Here is a 19,246-nt window from a genome sequence, read left to right on the forward strand (position 1 = left end):
CGCCTCGGCTTCCCAAAGTGCTGGGATTACAGGTATGAGCTACTGAGTCCAGCCGACTCTCTGGACTCAGTAGGACTGAGTATCTTGAAGGATACGTTTCATGATTTTTTTTAAGTATATCATCACCCCTATTATTCATTGACATAATTTGTGGACATAATGTCAATTACGTGGAGCTACAGCACTGTCAGTGGGCATCCAAGAGTAAAAACTATAAAAGGTAAAATTAAGCATTTTATCATCACTATCTATGTACTTTTATATGTATCTCACAAGATTTCCAGGATAGAATTGAAAAGCAGAGCTTAGGTAATACTGTTAGACAGGGCAATGACAATAGCTGTCACCCAGGCTTGGCTCAAAAATTAATATAACATTGGCTACCATATGTTGAGTGCTTACTATGTGACAAGGCATAGGGTGAGGAACTTTCAAAGCAGTATTACCTTTAATTCTCCCAGCAACCCTACATGACAGCCCATGTTTTTCTAAGATTCAGTGTTCATTAGTAAACAGAGCCTCCTTAAACAACACTAAACCTTACAGACATTTCTTCCATCATGTCTTCTTCCTAACCCTTTAACCATTCCACGTACTACCCATCTCTTAGAGTAGCAAAAGCTAAATGGGGTATCAAACACATGCCTTATTCTTTCATTCTAAGCAGATACCTTATCTGGTCTGCACGTAAGTTTTAGTTTCTCTTTACTTTTCCAAATGTGACTCTTAAAGTGAAAGAAGAACAGACAGAAGCTCTGAAATGCAGTGTAAAAGAAATAAGGTAGATTCAATCCCAACCCTAAGAAGCTTATAATGTAAAATAGGATAAATGAAGATTAAGACCATAGAAGAACCTCAGGAACACATTATGAAGAATATTATAAAGTTGTACTAAATATGGCAGCCTTATAATAAAGGTAAAAGCTATGTTTTATACATACCTACAAGCTTGGCTAAGGCTTAAATGTAAATATATTAAAATAGCCATGATAAAACATACGTACTATCTAGAAATTCCCAATGTACTCCTCTAGCATTTAAGGCATCTAATTTGAAATTAAAAATTGCAAAACAGGTGGTTGATTCAATACGCCTCCCACCCCCCTTCTCTTCTTTTAAGTTCGAAGTATAAGGATTGTAATACCTCTTCAGGCCTTCCTAAAGCTGGTGTTCCTGTAAGAAGAATGGCTCGTCTGGCTTTCTGTACTATTGGCAATAAAATCCTGCTGCGAGTTGCATTTCTGGATTTCATGTAGTGTGATTCATCCACTATAACTACTTTGAAGTTCTGATTATTCAGTGCATCTATCAAAGTCTTTGCATCTGCGGTTAAGAGACCATAACCCAGAACTGTCACTTTACTGGTCGACATTCTCCTAGAAAAGAAAATCCATGTACTTAAAAAATATCTCAGTAATGACGTTATCATGAACAATACAACTCTCTTGGGAAAAAATACAGAGGAGAAGAAAGAAGAATAGAGGAAAAATAAAAGGAGATGGTACTACTACTGAAACTCTGAAGATTTCACAATCCTCAAATATAATAAACCAGGATCCAAAATTTACAGTTTTGGTTAACCAAAACCAAAATTTTAGTTAAATGATCTTTGAAAGATTTTGACATCCAGCAAGCCACATTAGTTTCTGACAATATTTGCTTCTATGCACCTAGGATCATGCATAAAATGGATACTTAAATATTAGTTGACTCTTCAATGAAACTTTCACACAAATAGGATAGCAGTTTTTCAATCCAGATGCTACTGGTATTTTGAGCAGGACTAAGTGAAGCTCTGCAGTGCACTGAACAGGCCCTCCTGCTCAAAATACCAGTAGCAGAACAGACTTAACAGGGCTGTTCAGTGCACCGCAGAGCTTCATTTCCTGGTCCTACCTATTAAAGGACAGTGGAGTCCGAAGCTTTTGTGACAACAAAAAGCTTCCTGGACCTGAGATGATAAAATGTGAAGTGTGGTTAGAAGAAGCGGGTACCACCTCACATCAAGAACCATTAAGCTAAAATGATCCCTGATCTTTAGATTTCTATAATTCATACATCTGTAATATTCTGTATCTTGCTGTCAATAAATTATTCATTTACATATTTATGTCTCTTACCATATCATGAGATTGGTAAGGGCAGGGAATGTGTCTTATTCATCTTTTAGTAGTATTCATACACAGTGCTATGATCCCAAATAAAGTTTGTAGAATGAAATAATTAGACAAATAAATTCAATAATACTAAGACATATCACTTTTGCATTTTCTATATCACCAGAAAAAAATACAGGACAGAGCCAGTCTTCTTCAATTCTCTATCCTCTAACAGAAAAGGTAGAGCTCCTAAGCAGCCAGAACCACTATGGCTACTGCATTTTAAGCCCTGGATTAATCTACTTAATACAGAGACCTATAATTTTCTTTTTTTTTTTTTTTTTTTTGAGACAGAGTCTCGCTCTGTTGCCCAGGCTGGAGTGCAGTGGCATGATCTTGGCTCACTGCAAGCTCTGCCTCCCAGGTTAATGCCATTCTCCTGTCTCAGCCTCCCGAGTAGCTGGGACTACAGGTGCCCATCACCACACCTGGCTAATTATTTGTATTTTAGCCAGGATGGTCTCGATCTTCTGACCTTGTGATCCGCCCGCCCTGGCCTCCCAAAGTGCTGGGATTACAGGCGTGAGCCACCGTGCCTGGCCGAGACCTATAATTTTCTCACTGTATTCAAACACCAGAAGAGCCTGAAGAAGAAAGTAATAGGTTATTTAATATTACTAACTAACTTAGGTATACTGAGAGCAACATATAGGAGACTGGCTTCAAAGGCCACTGCAGCAATCTGTAGCTTCTATCCTACCATGTCTTGACTTGTAAACAGTCCAGGCATAACTGATATAAGCCAGAAGGAAAGTATATGTATTTGTGGTGGACATATTGGTATACACCTAAACCTGTTTCTTTAAGTACCTGGAAGACATTGGGTAGTTTTTCTGTCCTTAACTAACATCCTCCAGGAAACTTATACTCTGGAGTTGTACTCCTATCTAACATATCCCAAATACTATTCAAATAAAAATATTATCCACCATTTAACTGCAAGAGTGTATTTTCAAAATAATATAAAAACTAGATGCCCTAGTGGCTATAAAAGATGATAGAAGAGTCATTTTAAGAAAATTTAAATGTGAACATTTAAATAAGGTTTATCAGCCAGGTGCAGTGGCTCACGCCTGTAATCCCAGCACTTTGGGAGGCTGAGGTGGGTGGATCACCTGAGATCAGGAGTTTGAGACCAGACTGACCAACATGGTGAAACCCCATCTCTGCTAAAAATAAAAAAAGTCAGCCAGGTGTGGTGGTGGTGCCTGTAATCCCAGCTACTCGGGAGGCTGAGGTAGGAGAATCCCTTGAACCCAGGATGCAGAGGTTGCAGTGAGCCGACATGGTGCCACTGCATTCCAGCCTGGGCGATAGAGTGACACTCCGTCTCCAAAAAAAAAAAAAATTAATTAATTAAATTAAATAAATAAGGTATACCAAACAGATGATGGTTATGGAGGCCTTAAAAAATTCTACATTCTCTAAATTTGTAAGTCTTTTCAATTTCATTCAGTTTTATTGGAGAGGAGATTTATTTATAATAATTAGGATAAGATAGCAGTTTTTCCATTTTAACCATGTAAATAGAGTCCAGATTTTCTTGGGCCCATAAAGATACATGCTACTGAATTAGCATTTCAAGGTTGAAAGTGAAAAGGCCCTCCATACATTTTGTGTTTCCTCCTTCCACATTCGTAAGACAACTTTATTTTTAAATATACCTTTTATGTTAACAGTCTTAGAGAATACAATACAGTACAATAATACCAAAATTTAAAAATCTAAGTATTAACAGATATTTATTTCAGTAGATGTACTGTACTGCTTTTTATTTAAGGTTCAGAAATAGATAACTTTGAACCTCCAGAGACATAATTTGTATGAATCACCTACACATTCCATGTAATAACTCATCAATACTCAAACTGATTGTCTTATTCTAATTGCTAGAAAGCAAAATGAGGAAAAAAATACTAACACTATAACAGATTTTAGAGTGAGAGCTTCAAATAAACACAAAGCAAATATTTTCAAGATATAAAATATTAAAATTATAAATAAGGAAAATCAAACTTACTAATGAGTCACACACAAAACTTGCATATTAATTAACAAATTGGAAAGCAAAATCCACTGAAGTTGCTGATAATAAACGATCACAAAGCTTCAAGTCAATCAATGAAAAGTTGTGAGATTTATTTCTGAACCTTAAGATGGTTTCAAATATGTTTAAGGTATATATAAAGTAGATATACTACATATATCTTTAAAAGTATACGTATTTTACATTTACTTTAAAAATATACCATAAAGGAACTTAGAACTAAAATATACTATTGGGTTTTAGATAAATAATTCATATTTTAAAATGTAAAATAAAATTCTCCATACTACTTACTCCACTTCTAAATTATTATCTATTGGTGATATTGCATTCTAAAACATGAATATATACCAGGTACACACAAGGAAGACTTTTCTCCTTAAATATTAAACAGTTGTTCTTACCTAACATCAGTTTTATTCTGAATAACATTGATTTCTTCTGGACTTAGCTCTGGGATCCATTTTTCAATTTCTTCTGTCCAAGGGTACCTCAGAGACGAAGGGACCACTATTAACAGAGGCCATTCCTCTTTATAGAAGTAAGTAATTCCAATTGCCTGGATTGTCTTTCCTAGACCCATCTAAATTAAAAAATAAATAAATGTTAATAATAGAGCCTAAAATATTTTAAAAGAAAATATTTATCAAACATTTTATTTAAGAGTATTATTAGCTGGGTGTGATGGCTCATGACTGTAATCCCAGCACTTTGGGAGGCTGATGCAGGTGGATCGCTTGAGCCCAGGAGTTCGAGACCAGCCTGGCCAACATGGTGAAACCCTGTCTCTATAAAAAAACGTACAAAAAATTAGCTGGGCGTGGTAGGACACACCTGTAGTTCCAGCTACTTGGAGGCTGAAGTGGGAGGATTGCTTGGACCCAGGAAGTTGACGCTACAGTGAGCCTAGACTGAACCACTACACTCCAGCCTGGGTGACAGAGTAAGGCTGTCTAAAAAAAAATGTATTATCAAAATAATTTTCCAATGTAAAATTAGTTGGATTATACAGTTAATAAAAAGTTTGAGATAATAAGGACCTGTAAAATTCATTAAGCAAATCATATTATGTTCAAACTATTCATGATTGAACTTAAAGAGACAAAATTACTCCTAAGGTTAAATATTATGTTGATTTTATATAATTAGTTTTATAAAATGTATGTAACCATTTATAGTCTCTCCTCTTAGACTATAGTAAATGTCTTAACAGCACAAAACCATGTTATTTCAAAACTAGAGTAAGTCCTGAATGATGCACATTTTACAAAACAAGCAGACATAGAGAAGTTAAATTATTTAAATCACAGCTGGCTGATGCAAAACTCGTATGAGATCCCAGGTCTCAGGTGTCTTCCCACTTGATTTGTATCCACACTGTCACAATGCCTGACTTCTAAGCTGTTCCAATTTAAAAAGTAGTCACTTAGTGAATATTTATAGTGTTTTTGTTCAAAATAGCCAGAAACTGGATATAACTCAAATGTACTTCACCTGTGCATGAATAATCAAATGATGTCATATTCATACAATGGAGTACTATTCGGTAATAAAAAAAGAATGAACTCATGCTCTACACAACATGAATACATCTAAAACGCATTTCGGTAAGTGAAAGAAGCCAGATTCAAAATCTACATACTCTATGATTCTATTTATATGTCTCATTCTGGAAAGTAAAACAAAAGGGAGCCACAGCAGATCCGTGGTTGCCAGGGGCTGGAGGTGGGGGAGGGGAATAGCATGAGGGAACTTTTAGGAATGGAGTCGGTCTATACCTTGATGTTAGTGGCTGTTAACATAACCTATGCATTTTTTAGAACTCAGAATTGTACACTAAAAATGGGTGAATTTACATAAAAGTGTGAATTATACCTCAATAATCCTTACTTTTTTAGTAGTTACTATGGCAAACAATGGGAAAGAGAGACTAAAAGACAGGCCCTGTTTACCAGACTATACAAAGAGAAAAAAGAAAAATGCAGAAACTGAAAACAAAGAGTTTAAAAATGAATTTTAAATGCTGAGCAAAACTAAAGAAATGAGAAAAGAGCAGATTTTGGACTTTAAGCAAGTTTCCATTGAGAAAACTTTATTATTTTGTTTATGTATTTTTCTTTTAACTGCTCCTGTTAACAACAAAAAAGCAATCTTAGAATTCATGCAAAGTTATATTTACACATTCGTTGGATAATAATTAGTATGTTTCCGTGTCTTCAAAGCCCTCCAATTTTCACACCCGAAGCCACTCAAACATCACTGGATTCTGGGAACAACTTGGTTCCAATACAGCAGAACTTTAACAATCACAGATCTTTTTTTTTTTTTTTTTTAAGACGGAGTTTCACTCTTGTTGCCCAGGCTGGAGTGCAATAGCACGATCTCGGCTCACAGCAACCTCCACCTCCCAGGTTCAAGCCATTATCCTGCCTCAGCCTCTGGAGTAGCTGAGGTGGCATGCCCCACCACGCCTGGCTAATTTTATATTTTTAGCAGAGACGGGGTTTCTCCATGTTGGTCAGGCTGGTCTCAAACTCCCGACCTCAGGTGATCCACCCACCTCGGCCTCCCAAAGTGCTGGGATTGCAGGCATGAGCCACCGCGCCCGGCCAACAATTACAGATCTTTACCTGGCTAGAGTTATTCAGTGTGCCACTTCCCCGCCTCAACAACTCTGCCAAAAACAGACTTCCAGGAACTGAGGCTTGGCCCTATTTTTTGTGTGTGGACAATACCACTAACTTTGTGCTATGGTTAGGGGTCTTTGGTTTTGTTTCCTGCCATGGTTTCATAACACATTTTCTTAATTTCAATTTATCTGGAAATAGGATCTGTTTTGCTTCCCTGGTTTTCTGGAAAGCAGAATTCTCTCTCTGCAACCCAGATTCTATCACTAGAACCTCAGCTTCTTGCTGCTAAATTTACTTGGTGCCAGTCACCTGTCTATCTATACATTTTGCACTTCATGTATGACTAACAATGTTCTGTGTTGGCTTGCCAGACAACTCTCTCCCAAAGACCGCCACTCCTCAAAATTTCCTCATCTTGTCTACTGAGATCAGGTATGTAAGCCTTCAATAGGATACGTAGAATTGGGACTTGAAACAATAGGTAGAATTAAAAAAAAAAAAATTTCAGTTAGATAGAAGGAATAAGGTGAAGAGATATATTGTCCAACAGGGTAACTATAGTTAATAACAACATACTACATTCTTAAAAATTGCAAAGAGAGTAGATTTTAAGTGTTCCCATCACAAAAAAGCATGTGAAGTAACGCATATGTTAATTACCTCAATGTAGCCATTCTACAATGTATACATATTTCAAAACAACATAATGTACACCATAAATATATATAATTTTTATTTGTCAAATAAATATTTTTAAAGAAAAAATAAGAAAAAGAAGTTTTAGGTTGACGACAGGCGAAGAAAAGGGAAACTAGCATAAGTATGGGTAAGAATAAGAAGAATCCTGATATGCTGGGAAGTTTATTTGATTAGAAGTTTGAATATTTTTGTCTTCTAGTTCTCTAATTCTGTATTCTTGTATCTAATCTATTAAATCTACTAGAATTAACTCCAGATGTTATTTTTCAGTTCTAAAATGTCCATTAGAATCTGTTTTTGTTGTTGTTTTTGTTCTAACATGTTAAAAATTCTTGGGGTTTTTTTGTGTGTTTGTTTTTTAGATAGGGTCTTGCTGTGGCTGGAGGGCAGTGGCGTAATCGTGGCTCACTGCAGCCTCGATCTGGGCTCAAGCAATCCTCCTAGCTCAGCCCCCTGGGTAGCCAGGACTCCAGGCATGTGCCACCATGCCCAGCTATTTTTTTTGGTACTTTTTGGGCAGGCTGGTCTCGAACTCCTGAGCTCAAGCGATCCACCTACCTTAGCCTTCCAAAGTGCTGGGATTATAGGTGAGGGCCACCATGCCCGGCCTAATAGATTACATTCTATTAATTACATTTTTTACAATCTATTACATTCTTTTTAATAGATTACATTCTCCTTTGAAACGTCTTTTTGTCCACCTTTTTGCTGATTTTCTTGATGATGTTGTTGTTTTATATTTGAGACAGTGTCACTCTGTCACCAAGGGTGAAATGTAGTGGCATGATCTTGGCTCACTGCAACCACCTCTACCTCCTGGGTTCAAGTGATTCTCGTGCCTTAGCCTCCTGAGTACCTGGGGACTACAGGCGAGTGCCACCACGCCTGGCTAATTTTTGTTATTTTTAGTAGAGACAGGGTTTTTGTTTTCTTTTTCTTGAAACGGAGTCTTGTTCTGTCACCCAGGCTGGAGTGCAGTGGCATGATCTCGGCTCATTGCAATGTCTGCCTCCTGGGTTCAAGCGATTCTCCTGCCTCAGCCTCCCGAGTAGCTGGGATTACAGGCGCATGCCACCACTCCCGGCTAACTTTTGTATTTTTAGTAGAGACGGGGTTTCGCCATGTTGGCCAGGCTGGTCTCAAACTCCTGACCTCAGGTGATCCACCCGCCTCGGCCTCCCAAAGTGCTTGGATTACAGGCGTAAGCCACTGCGCCTTGCCAAGACACGGTTTTGCCATGTTGACCAGGTTGTTCTCAAACTCTTGACCTCAAGTGATCTGCCTTCCTCAGCCTCCCAAAGTGCTGGGATTGCAGGTGTGTGCCACCATGCCCAGCCAAAAAAATAAGTTATTTTAAAGTCTCTCTCTGATAACAACATCTGATCTCATGTGGGCTCTATTTCCTTTTCCTTTTGGTACCAGTTTTTCAGGATCCCTCATATTTTCTAATTTAACACCAGATATCTTGAGTAAAAAATTCACAGAAGCTTTGGGTAGTAGTATCTTCTCCCAAGAGGGGTTAGGTTAAGTTTTCTTAGGGAAGGCAAATTGAGTAACGGCAAATACCTCATTCCTTTTAAGACTTGGTTTTACGCTTTTAAAGGGCAAGTTTACTCATTGTTGCCCTTATTCCCAGCGCCTGCTATTTATTATAGAAGATGGCCCTTCTGGGGGTCAACAGAAGCCAACGCAAGATATCTGTAAACAATTTCTTACCTCAACAAGGCTCAACCCCATCTCTGTCTACTTAGTACCACAATACTGCTAAAATCTTGGCTTAGTTTTTATCCTTCCCAACTCTATATTTCTTCTAGGTTTCTTGGGATCTCATTCTGTGCATGTATAGTTTAGGAAATAGCCAAAGACTTAAGGCTAACGTGTATGCAGATTTTCTTTATAATTCTCTCAAGTTTCCTCCTCTCTGAGATTTTTATCTTCGTATCTACATGCACAGTGCATAGTTTGGGAAGTAGACAGAATAGTCTCTGAGAGAAACAAGTAGAAGCAGCCTGTTTGACTTATGTTGCTTAAGGCTTAAGGAAGATAAATTGAATATTCGGTGATGAATTTAGGCAGCTGAAAAGGAAAAAACAAATTATGGGAGCTAATAATGTATTATTTTTGTTAGGTTTTCAAAATTCTGAACATTTTCTTCCTGTTCCCAGCTATCATATCATACTTTCCTAATAACCTAAAAAAATACGACTGCCATTTAAGAAGTATGAAATGTAAAACATTAAGTACCAATTAAGAAATATGAAGTCATTTTAAAAAGAAAAAAAAGTTTCTCAAGTCAAACAGTCTTCAGTATAACTCATGCAAGGATTGGTCTTGCAAAGCTGATGTGCTGAATATAAGAATAAGCAATGGAAGCAAACAGAAGGATAAAATAAAGAGTCTCACTCCATTTTTTGATGTTTACATGCAAGCCCTCTTACCCTTCTGCCCCAATTGTGTACAAGCAGATACGAAAGTGTGGGTGCTATTTCCTTTGGCACTGGTGGGAAATACAAGCTATGCAAGCCCCGGCCCACATGGTAAGAACCCTCACCTTAACCCCACCCCATAAGCCCAATAAGAGACTATGCCTGTCTCTTCTCCTTGTTTTTTTTTCAAGTCATTTTTATATCTACTTGGGAGCCTGCCCTCCTCATCCCAGAAAGACTTGTTATGTCAGTAATAAACCCTTTCATACCCTCTTCATGTCTGGGTAGCATCATCAGCCTCGACATCCAAATGAAATTTTGAGTGGAAAGGTCCATTGCATCTCTTCAGGGTGACCATGATAAAGGGAAAGCCATCTTTCAATATACGTTAATAAACTGGCATTGTGATTTTTATAAAAGAGTTTCCTTGAGCTTTATTAGCTAGAGTAAAACATCTCAGGATTTGATCAACTTGCTGTCACTGAAAATAATAAATTTCTTGGTTGGGTACAGTAGATCACATCTGTAATCCCAACATTTTGGGAGGCCGAGGCAGCAGGACTGCTTGAGGCCAGGAGTTCAAGACCAGTTTGGGCAACAGAGAGAGACTCTGTCTCTATAGAAAAATTTAGTAATCCCCAGGTGTGGTGGCATGTGCCTACAGTCCAACTAATGGGGAAGCTGAGGTGGGAGGACTGCTTGAGTCCAGAAGGTTGAAGCTGTAGTGTGCCATTACCACGTCACTGCACTCCAGCCTGGGTGACAGAATGAGACCCTGAAAAAAAAAAAAAGGAAACAAAGAAAAGAAAAAAGAAAAGAAAAGAAAAGAAAGGAGAAGAAAAGAAGAAAAGAAAATTTCTTAATCTACCCATTTCCTAATCTACTTGAAGATCATACCCTATGGTATTAGGACTGACACTGACACTCAGTTTTTGTCCAGCTATCTTTCCTGGTAAGAACCCCCAACTTCTTATTCAGCATCTCTTTAGTTTAAAGATTATGTAGTGAAATGACTAAAAGTGATTCTCAGAAATTAGAAAGATATTTATCAATACAAAGTGAAACATTTGGGTACTATTTTTCTTAGGTATTTGTTTTTGGTTGTTCATTTTTGGGACATGGTGAGGTAGGAAATAAAGTTTGATGAAACAAACTAGAAAAATACATAGTTCTAAATTAGAAAATAAAAGTATATTGGCATAATCTCATATTCCCATTAAAGAAAGGAATAATACATAGAATGACTCAGTTCTAAATAAAATTTGAAAAGGACTACCTTTTAAAATAAACTTTTAAGGCCAGGAACAGTGGCTCACACCTGTAATCCCAGCACTTTGGGAGGCTGAGGCGGGTGGGTCACCTGAGGTCAGGAGTTCGAGACTAGCCTGGCCAAAATGATGAAACCCCGTCTCTATGAAAAATACAAAAAAATTAGCCCGGCATAGTGGCGCACACCTGTAGTCCCAGCTACTCGGGAGGCTGAGGCAGGAGAATTGCTTGAACAGGGGAGGCGGAGGTTGCAGTGAGCTGAGATCATGCGTTTGTACTCCAGCCTGGGCGACAAGAGTGAAACTCCACCTCAAAAATAAAGAAATGAATAAATAGATAAAACAAAATAAACTTTGGCTGGGCACGGTGGCTCATGCCTGTATCCCAGCACTTTGGGAGGCCAAGGTGGGCGGATCACAAGGTCAGGAGATCGAGACCATCCTGGCTAACACGGTGAAACCCCATCTCCACTAAAAATACAAAAAATTAGCCAAGCGTGGTGGTGAGCACCTGTAGTCCCAGCTACTTGGGAGGCTGAGGCAGGAGAATGGCGTGAACCCGGGAAGCGGAGCTTGCAGTGAGCGGAGATTGTGCCACTGCACTCCTGCCTGGGTGACACAGTGAGACTCCGTCTCAAAAAAATAAAATAAAATAAAATAAAAAATAAACTTTTAAAACATGTACTTAGATTTTCAGTTTTTGTTTTTATTTTGAGACAGGCTCTCACTGTCACCCAGGTTGGAGTGCTGTGGCCTGGCCTGATCACAGCTCACTGCAACCTCAAACTCCTGGGCTCAAGCGGTTCTCCCACCTCAGCCTCCTGAGTAGCTGAGACTACAGGTGCACACCACCATGCCTGTTTTTGGTTTGTTTGTTTGTTTGTTTGTTTGTAGAGATGGGGGGGTCTCACTTTGTTGTCCAGGCTTGTCTTGAACTCCTGGCTCAACCAATCCTCCTGCCTTGGCCTCCCAAAGTGCTGAGATTACAGGCGTGAGCCACCGCACTTGGCCAGATTTCAGTATTTTGAAAAGAATTGAAAACAGCATAGCATTCAATTATAAAAGCAACAACACACTTCAAGTAATTTAGGCATACAGGAATAACTACACTCAACATGTGGTTCAAAGCCCTGGGCTCTAACAACAATAGAATTTGTTAATGTGGAACTCTTCAGTGTTTCATCACCATTAAGGCTAAATCAATGATTAAGAATCAAAGTCTTGAATAAACAATAGTACAAATGTCCAGGTAGCTACATAAGAATTAAATAGAATACATTAACCTCAAGAACACATTTCATCAATGTTTTCAAAATTGTAAATCACCATTTTACTTAGGAGAATAATTTTAGGTTTCCTAAATGTTTTATTCTATGAAATTATTAAGAGCAATTAAATAACAATTATCCTGATACATAAAATTTCAGTTTCACTTTTTTATACTGTGATTACTTTTATAAAGCAATTTTTATTTCTATGCATTAAAAATGCTCATTGACATTTTTCGAAACTAAAAACTTTTCCGGTTTTAATGTTATAAGCAGCTTGTTCCTTTGAAGGCAGATAGGTAGGTTTGTCTTTAAAATAGGTGGCCTGTTTGTTATAAAAGAGATTGCTTTGGAGGACCCTTTTAGGTATGCTTTTAAAATCTTAGTGAGGATTTCAATTAAGAAAGAAAACCCGCATAAAGAAATAGCAGACTGAAATACTATGTTCTGTTACTTATTATTAAGGGGGTATATATTTTAGCAGAACCACTTTCTTGTTCTTGTACATTGTTAGTGCTATTTCCAATAGAGAATTTTAGATGGTACACGTGATTATTTGTTCTTAGAATTGTGTGTGTACGGCCGGGCACAGTGGCTCACGTCTGTAATCCCAGCACTTTGGGAGGCCAAGGCAGGTGGATCATGAGGTCAGAAGATGGAGACCATCTTGACTAACACAGTGAAACCTTATCTCTACTTAAAATACAAACAATTAGCCGGGCATGGTGGCGGACACCTGTAGTCCCAGCTACTCGGGAGGCTGAGGCAGGAGAATGGCATGAACCTGGGAGGCGGAGCTTGCAGTGAGCTGAGATCGCGCCACTGCACTCCAGCCTGGGCAGCAGAGCAAGACTCCGTCTCAAAAAAAAAAAAAAAAAGAATAGAATAGTGTGTGTACATTTCAATTCTGTCTTCTTTTCTCATAAGGGACTAGGAAAAGAGAACAGACCATATGGGTATGCACATAGCCCTGATCTTCTTCTTACTCAAGACAGAAGAGTCTATGCTTTGGGAACTGTGCTATCACTTTCCTGATGGTTGGTTGGTACTTGTGTGCAGGAGCAGGCTTTCTCTTGAAGGGAATGCACTGGGAACAGAGGAAGGCAGAAAGGAGATGGGCCTTAGAGAGCAGCAGGATGAGAGGAAAAAAACTTATTTATCTAAAGGGAGGGCACTGAGTCGGGGATGGTGGCAGAACTTAAGTAGAGTTGTAGTCCAAAGCATGGCTTAGAGATGCCCATATTGGGACTAGAAAAAGAAAATCAGGGAGAAGGCTCTGGAATGGTCTGAGAGGCTGGATATAAGCAAATATATGCCCCTTTTTATTTTTTTTCCTAGACATGGGTCTCTCTATGTTACTCAGGCTGGCCTCAAATTCCTAGGCTCAAGCAATCCTCTGGCCTCAGCCTCCAGAGTACCTAGGATTACAGGTGCACACCACTGTGCCCCACTTGAGCAAACGTGTTTTAAGAATAGACATTTCTAGTGGCAGTTAGATGTTATGCTTTTAATGTGGTATTTTTATCCTCCTCCAGTCTCTAGTAAAGTTTTATTCAAAGTCACAGCTTTACAAATGGAATAAAATGTCATCAACTGATAAATCTGAGTAAAGGGTATATGGATGATCTTTGTATTATTTATGTTCCTGAAACCCTTCTGTAAGTATGAAATGACTTTCAAGTAAAAAGATTAAAAAAAAAGTTACAGCTCTACAACGTAGTAGCAGTCGTGCTTGGTGGAAGGAAAAGAGGGCTGTTCTACACTTCAAAAGTAGTAGACAAAAAGAAGTGATAATCTATATCACACAGTGCCAAAAGAAGCAAAATTTCTAAATTCTTATTCATTTATTTGAGACAGGATCTCGCACTGTTGCCCAGGCTGGAGTGCAGTGGCATGATCATAGTTCATTGTAACCTCAAACTCCTGGCTCAAGTGATCTTCCTGCCTCAGCCTCCCAAGTAGCTGGGACTACAGGCAAGCATCACCTCACCCAGCTCATATTTAATCTTAAAGAGTCACAAGACAGTAAAAAATGAGATACTTAACTATAATGGGAACTGCTCACATGCATATGTATTATTCATTCAACAGTACCATTCCTCAGATAAAATTTGAAGTTCAGAAATAAATTTTCCATAATTTTTGTACGTTTTAAATCTGTTTTGTAAAATTAAAACCAAGTTAACAAACTTAATTAAGATTCTAGTCATTTTTTTCCACTTGCATTGTAGTATAGGAGCCTCAGCAATTTCTTAAAATTGAGAGCCCAACACAGCACAAAGAAAATAACTACAAGTGCTTGGGTAGGGTAGGGAGAAAGAAAAGGAAAGGACAAAAAGAAATGGGGGGAAAAAGTCCAATCTCCCAGTTATGCTCTAAGTTCTTACAATCTATTATACCTAGGCATCATTTAGATACATGTTAAAAATTCAGACTTCAGGACAACACCTCAAATTCTGATTCAATAGAAATGGACTTTTAAAATAAAAATCCCTTTGGGAGGCTGATATGTGAGGATTGTCTGATGCCAGGATTTTTGAGATCAGCCTGGGCAATATAGAGAGACCACATCTCTACAAAAAATACAAAAATTTGCTGATGTGCTGGCATGTGCCTGTAGTCATAACTACTGGGGAGGCTGAGCTAGGAGGATTGTTTGAGGCCAGGACACTGCACTTCAGCCTGAGTGAAACAGCAAGAACTCGTCTCTAAAAATAAAAGAAATGAAGGAAGGAGGGAAGGAGGGCAGGAAGGAAGGAGGGCAGGAGGGAAGGAGGGAAGGAAGAAGGGAAGGAAGGAGGGAGGGAAGGAAGGAAGGAAGGGGCAAGCAAAAATGATTCTTATGTGGATGACTCTCAGGTTGCATTTTGAGAATAACTACTATAATGATTAAACTTTGGGAAAAAAATCTTAGCTTTGCCTAATTTTTGGCCATTTCCTCATCAGGAGAAACAAACAGATAAAAACACGAAAAACACTTCCATGATTTGATTCTTGAACTTTTAAATCATTTCTGGGGTATCTGGTTTCTTGACTGACCTTTAATTACAATTCCAAGGCAGTATAAACATAGTGCTTTCTACCCTGCTATATAGTATGTAGAATAAATTTATCTAAAACAGAATTTGGGGCTGAGCACAGTGGCTCACACCTGTAATCCTAGCACTTTGGGAGGCTGAGGTGGGCGGATAACTTGAGGTCAAGAGTTTAAGACCAGCCTGGCCAACATGGTGAAACCCCACCTTTACTAAAAATACAAAAATTAGGCCAGGTGTGGTGGCTCATGCCTGTAATCCTAGCTACTCAGGGGGGTTGAGGCAGGAGAAATCGCTTGAGCCCTGGGAGGCGAAGGTTGCAGTGAGCTGAGATTGCACCACTGCTCTCCAGCCTAGGCTATGACAGAGAGAGACCCTGTCACAAAAAAATAAATAAGGCCAGGCACGGTGGCTAACGCCTGTAATCCCATCACTTTGGGAGGCCGAGGCGGGCAGATCACGAGGTCAGGAGTTCGAGACCAGCCTGGCCAATATGGTGAAACCCCGTCTCTACTAAAAATACAAAAATTAGCCGGGCGTGGTGGCACACACCTGTAGCCCCAGCTACTCGGGAGGCTGAGGCAGAAGAATCGCTTGAACCTGGAAGGCAGAGGTTGCAGTGAACAGAGATGGTGCCACTGCACTCCAGCCTGGGCAACAGAGACTCTGTCTCAAAAAAAAAAATAAATAAAATGAAATAAAAATAAATAATAAATAAATGAAAAATAAAAATACAAATATAAAAGTTAGCCAGGTGTGGTGGCGGGCAACTATAATTCCAGCTACTTGGGAGGCTGAGGCAGGGGAATTGCTTTAACCCAGGAGGCAGTGGTTGCAGTAAGTCAGGATTGCACCACTGCACTCCAGCCTGGGTGACAGACCAAGATTCTGTCTCAAAAAACAAAACAAAAACGAAATTTGGCTTTTCACTTCACAATCTACTTGAATTAGCTAGCAATTTTATAGAAAAAGACTAATTTCAGAAGTTTAATAAAGGCACTGAAAGGGTATCTAATTTGCACCTTGCTTTGATTATATATCTCAGGTAATCAATTAAAGTGCTATATATAAGGCTCAATGATCAACCTTAACTGTTTAACAAATTGGAAGAACAATAACTTGCATCACTAAAATTTCTATACGTAATGAACACAGTGAAAATATAACATATTCTTAAAAAAAGTGTATGAAAAATACTAAATTTTCTATGTTGTTTACTAACACTGAATTTGTTGATCACAAATGTAAACAAAAGGGTGTTTCAAAACACATGAAGATAAGGATTAGGAAACAAAGAGCAGATAAGAAGCATTTGCACTTGGCAAACTTGATTACTGCCATTAAGGACCATAGATAAGTTCAGTTGGAGATTTTATAAAAGGAAGATGAATAAATCCCTTGCTTAGTATCATAAATAATTACAGCGTGATGCTTTATATCCTTTTTAATGTGGCAACACTATAATTAATTTGAAGACATCATAATTAGAAAATAAAGAACCCTGTATTGAAATTCAGACTAGTATATTAAAATACTATGTTCTGCAGTTACATAATGACACATAAAATTATGGTGGAAGTAAAATAAATAAATAAAGACACCACTTATTTGTAACAAAGGGAAAATTATTTCTGCTTTTAAAATAAGGAATCAAAAGCACATCCATCAACAGCTTGAGACAAAATTTTTGCAGGTTATTAGGATGCTTTCGGTTGAACAAGTACTTGGATTAATCTGTCAATTCATGTGTTGACACATAGCAATCACTTCAGAATAAACCATTAGAAAGAATTCCAAATCTCAACTAGGTAATTTTTGGAAATGTTAATTAAACAATGATGGAGATTCCCTACTCAGATTCAGAACGTACACCCTTTTAAGATGGGTCTCGTATATATTAAAAAGAGGGAGAAAGAAAGGACGCCTTTGTGAAAGTTTTTTTTTTAAGAAAAGTACAAATTAACTTACCTAATGGTTACTAAATCGTTACATAAAATGAAAAAGGAAATAAGCAAGAGGAAAACAAAATGCTGGTTAATCACATCCTCTGCCAGTTGCCAAAATACAACAATTGACTAAAAATTGAGCCCTAATGAGTTGAGTAGTTTCAAAAGTTAAAACATAAAGGAAGGCCACTGAATACTGAGATTAGGCTGGGTATTATGTGCAGAAATGAAAACAAGAATATGAATCAAATGAGACAGCAAAATCAATTTGTTATTCTAAGAAAGACATGGAATGTTACAAGTAAAATTTGCTGTTTAAATTGAGTTAGGCAATAAAAGAAAAAAAAAGGACTACTAAGAAAAAGAAAGAGAAAACTATCAATTCTTGTAAGTATTTATTATTTAAAAATTAATTTTTAGGCCGGGCGTGGTGGCTCACGCCTGTAATCCCAGCACTTTGGGAGACCGAGGTGGGTGGATCACGAGGTCAGGAGATCGAGACCATCCTGTCTAACACAGTGAAACCTCGTCTCTACTAAAAATAAAAAAAAAAATTAGCTGGGCAAGGTGGCAGGCGCCTGTAGTCCCAGCTATTCAGGAGGCTGAGGCAGGAGAATGGCGTCAACCCGGGAGGCAGAGCTTGCAGTGAGCAGAGATCATGCCATTGCACTCCAGCCTGGGCGACAGAGCGAGACTCCATCTCAAAAAATAATAATAATAATTTTTATATATTTAAAGAACGTTGGCACCAATGATTTTTACTCTAAAAACCACTCCAACTCTGCTTTGTAAAAATGGCCGTGCAAATATGTGCTAATTACCTTGATATTTGCAAGTTGGTGCTCAGAATTCATACTTTAGGACAGGAGGCTCTGGAGTGGTGGCCCATAGTGTGATCTCTTGGACCTGTATGGTAAGAACCTCAGTTTATAGTGTTTAAAACTCAGATCTGTGTAAAAATGTGACTCCTGGCTTCTCTCAACAACTCAGGACTGGTGGCAGCCACGTCCCCGTGTAGACAGTGGACTGGAGGCGGGGACTGCTCCTTAGCTGGGGTCCTCTCATCCCAGTGTGCCCATGTCCCTGCGAGGACTTCACTCCCTGGAGGCCCTGTCTGTATCTGCTTTTGGGATGCCTGCCTTAAGGATTGATGTCAAGTCTTTATAAACAATCACTGTGTGTGTGTTTGTGTTTGAGAGTGCGTACATGAACAAGAGAGAGAAAACCAAAAATCACAAATCTGGAAAAGTTAATAAAGATCTAGAACCTAAAAAAAATAAATAAATAAATAAACCACCCCATTGTCAAGGTAGAGTTTCCTGGGTCTAAACCATATGGTTTTCTTCTCTACGGTAGCATCTACATAAATTGTTTCTGCATTAAACATAGTGATAGATAACTTTTCCCTATAATGCAATGTCACCATGATCTCCAGGGTAGTACTATGACAAGGTGAAAAATATTCAGTTTCTGACATTTTTATTGGATAGAGATGTCCCTTGTTTTCCCAATATAACTAAATATATTATTGAATAACTTCTCTTTTACTCAATAGCATGAATTAACTGAGAAGTTATTCAATAATGTTTATTAGTTATAATAACCAATAATAACAGGTTATTATTGAATAACTTCTCTGTTCTTTTGTCTTCTAGTAGAATTAGTAATAGCTCCAAATTTCTTAAATGAATCTATACATAGAATATACTCAAAAGAGCACAGTCTGTCAATTATTACTTAAGGAATTCACTTTTAATCTATAAAAAGA

At 38.2% G+C, this 19,246-nt stretch overlaps 1 protein-coding gene across 3 annotated transcripts in view; it reads right to left on the minus strand.

Annotated features, from left to right (window-relative positions):
• The window catches only part of ZRANB3 (zinc finger RANBP2-type containing 3), a 334,250-nt gene that overhangs the window by 151,871 nt on the left and 163,133 nt on the right, over positions 1–19,246 (minus strand). For all 3 annotated transcript variants that reach the window (NM_032143.4, NM_001286569.1, NM_001286568.2), the window contains exons 4-5: positions 4,611–4,789; positions 1,145–1,376 (exon numbers count right to left, since the gene is read on the minus strand). In NM_032143.4, the coding sequence (NP_115519.2) occupies positions 1,145–1,376; positions 4,611–4,789 (411 nt within the window). The remainder of the gene's footprint in view (positions 1–1,144; positions 1,377–4,610; positions 4,790–19,246) is intronic.

This window comes from Homo sapiens, chromosome 2, assembly GCF_000001405.40.
Source record: "Homo sapiens chromosome 2, GRCh38.p14 Primary Assembly".
Taxonomy (NCBI): Eukaryota; Metazoa; Chordata; class Mammalia; order Primates; family Hominidae; genus Homo; species Homo sapiens.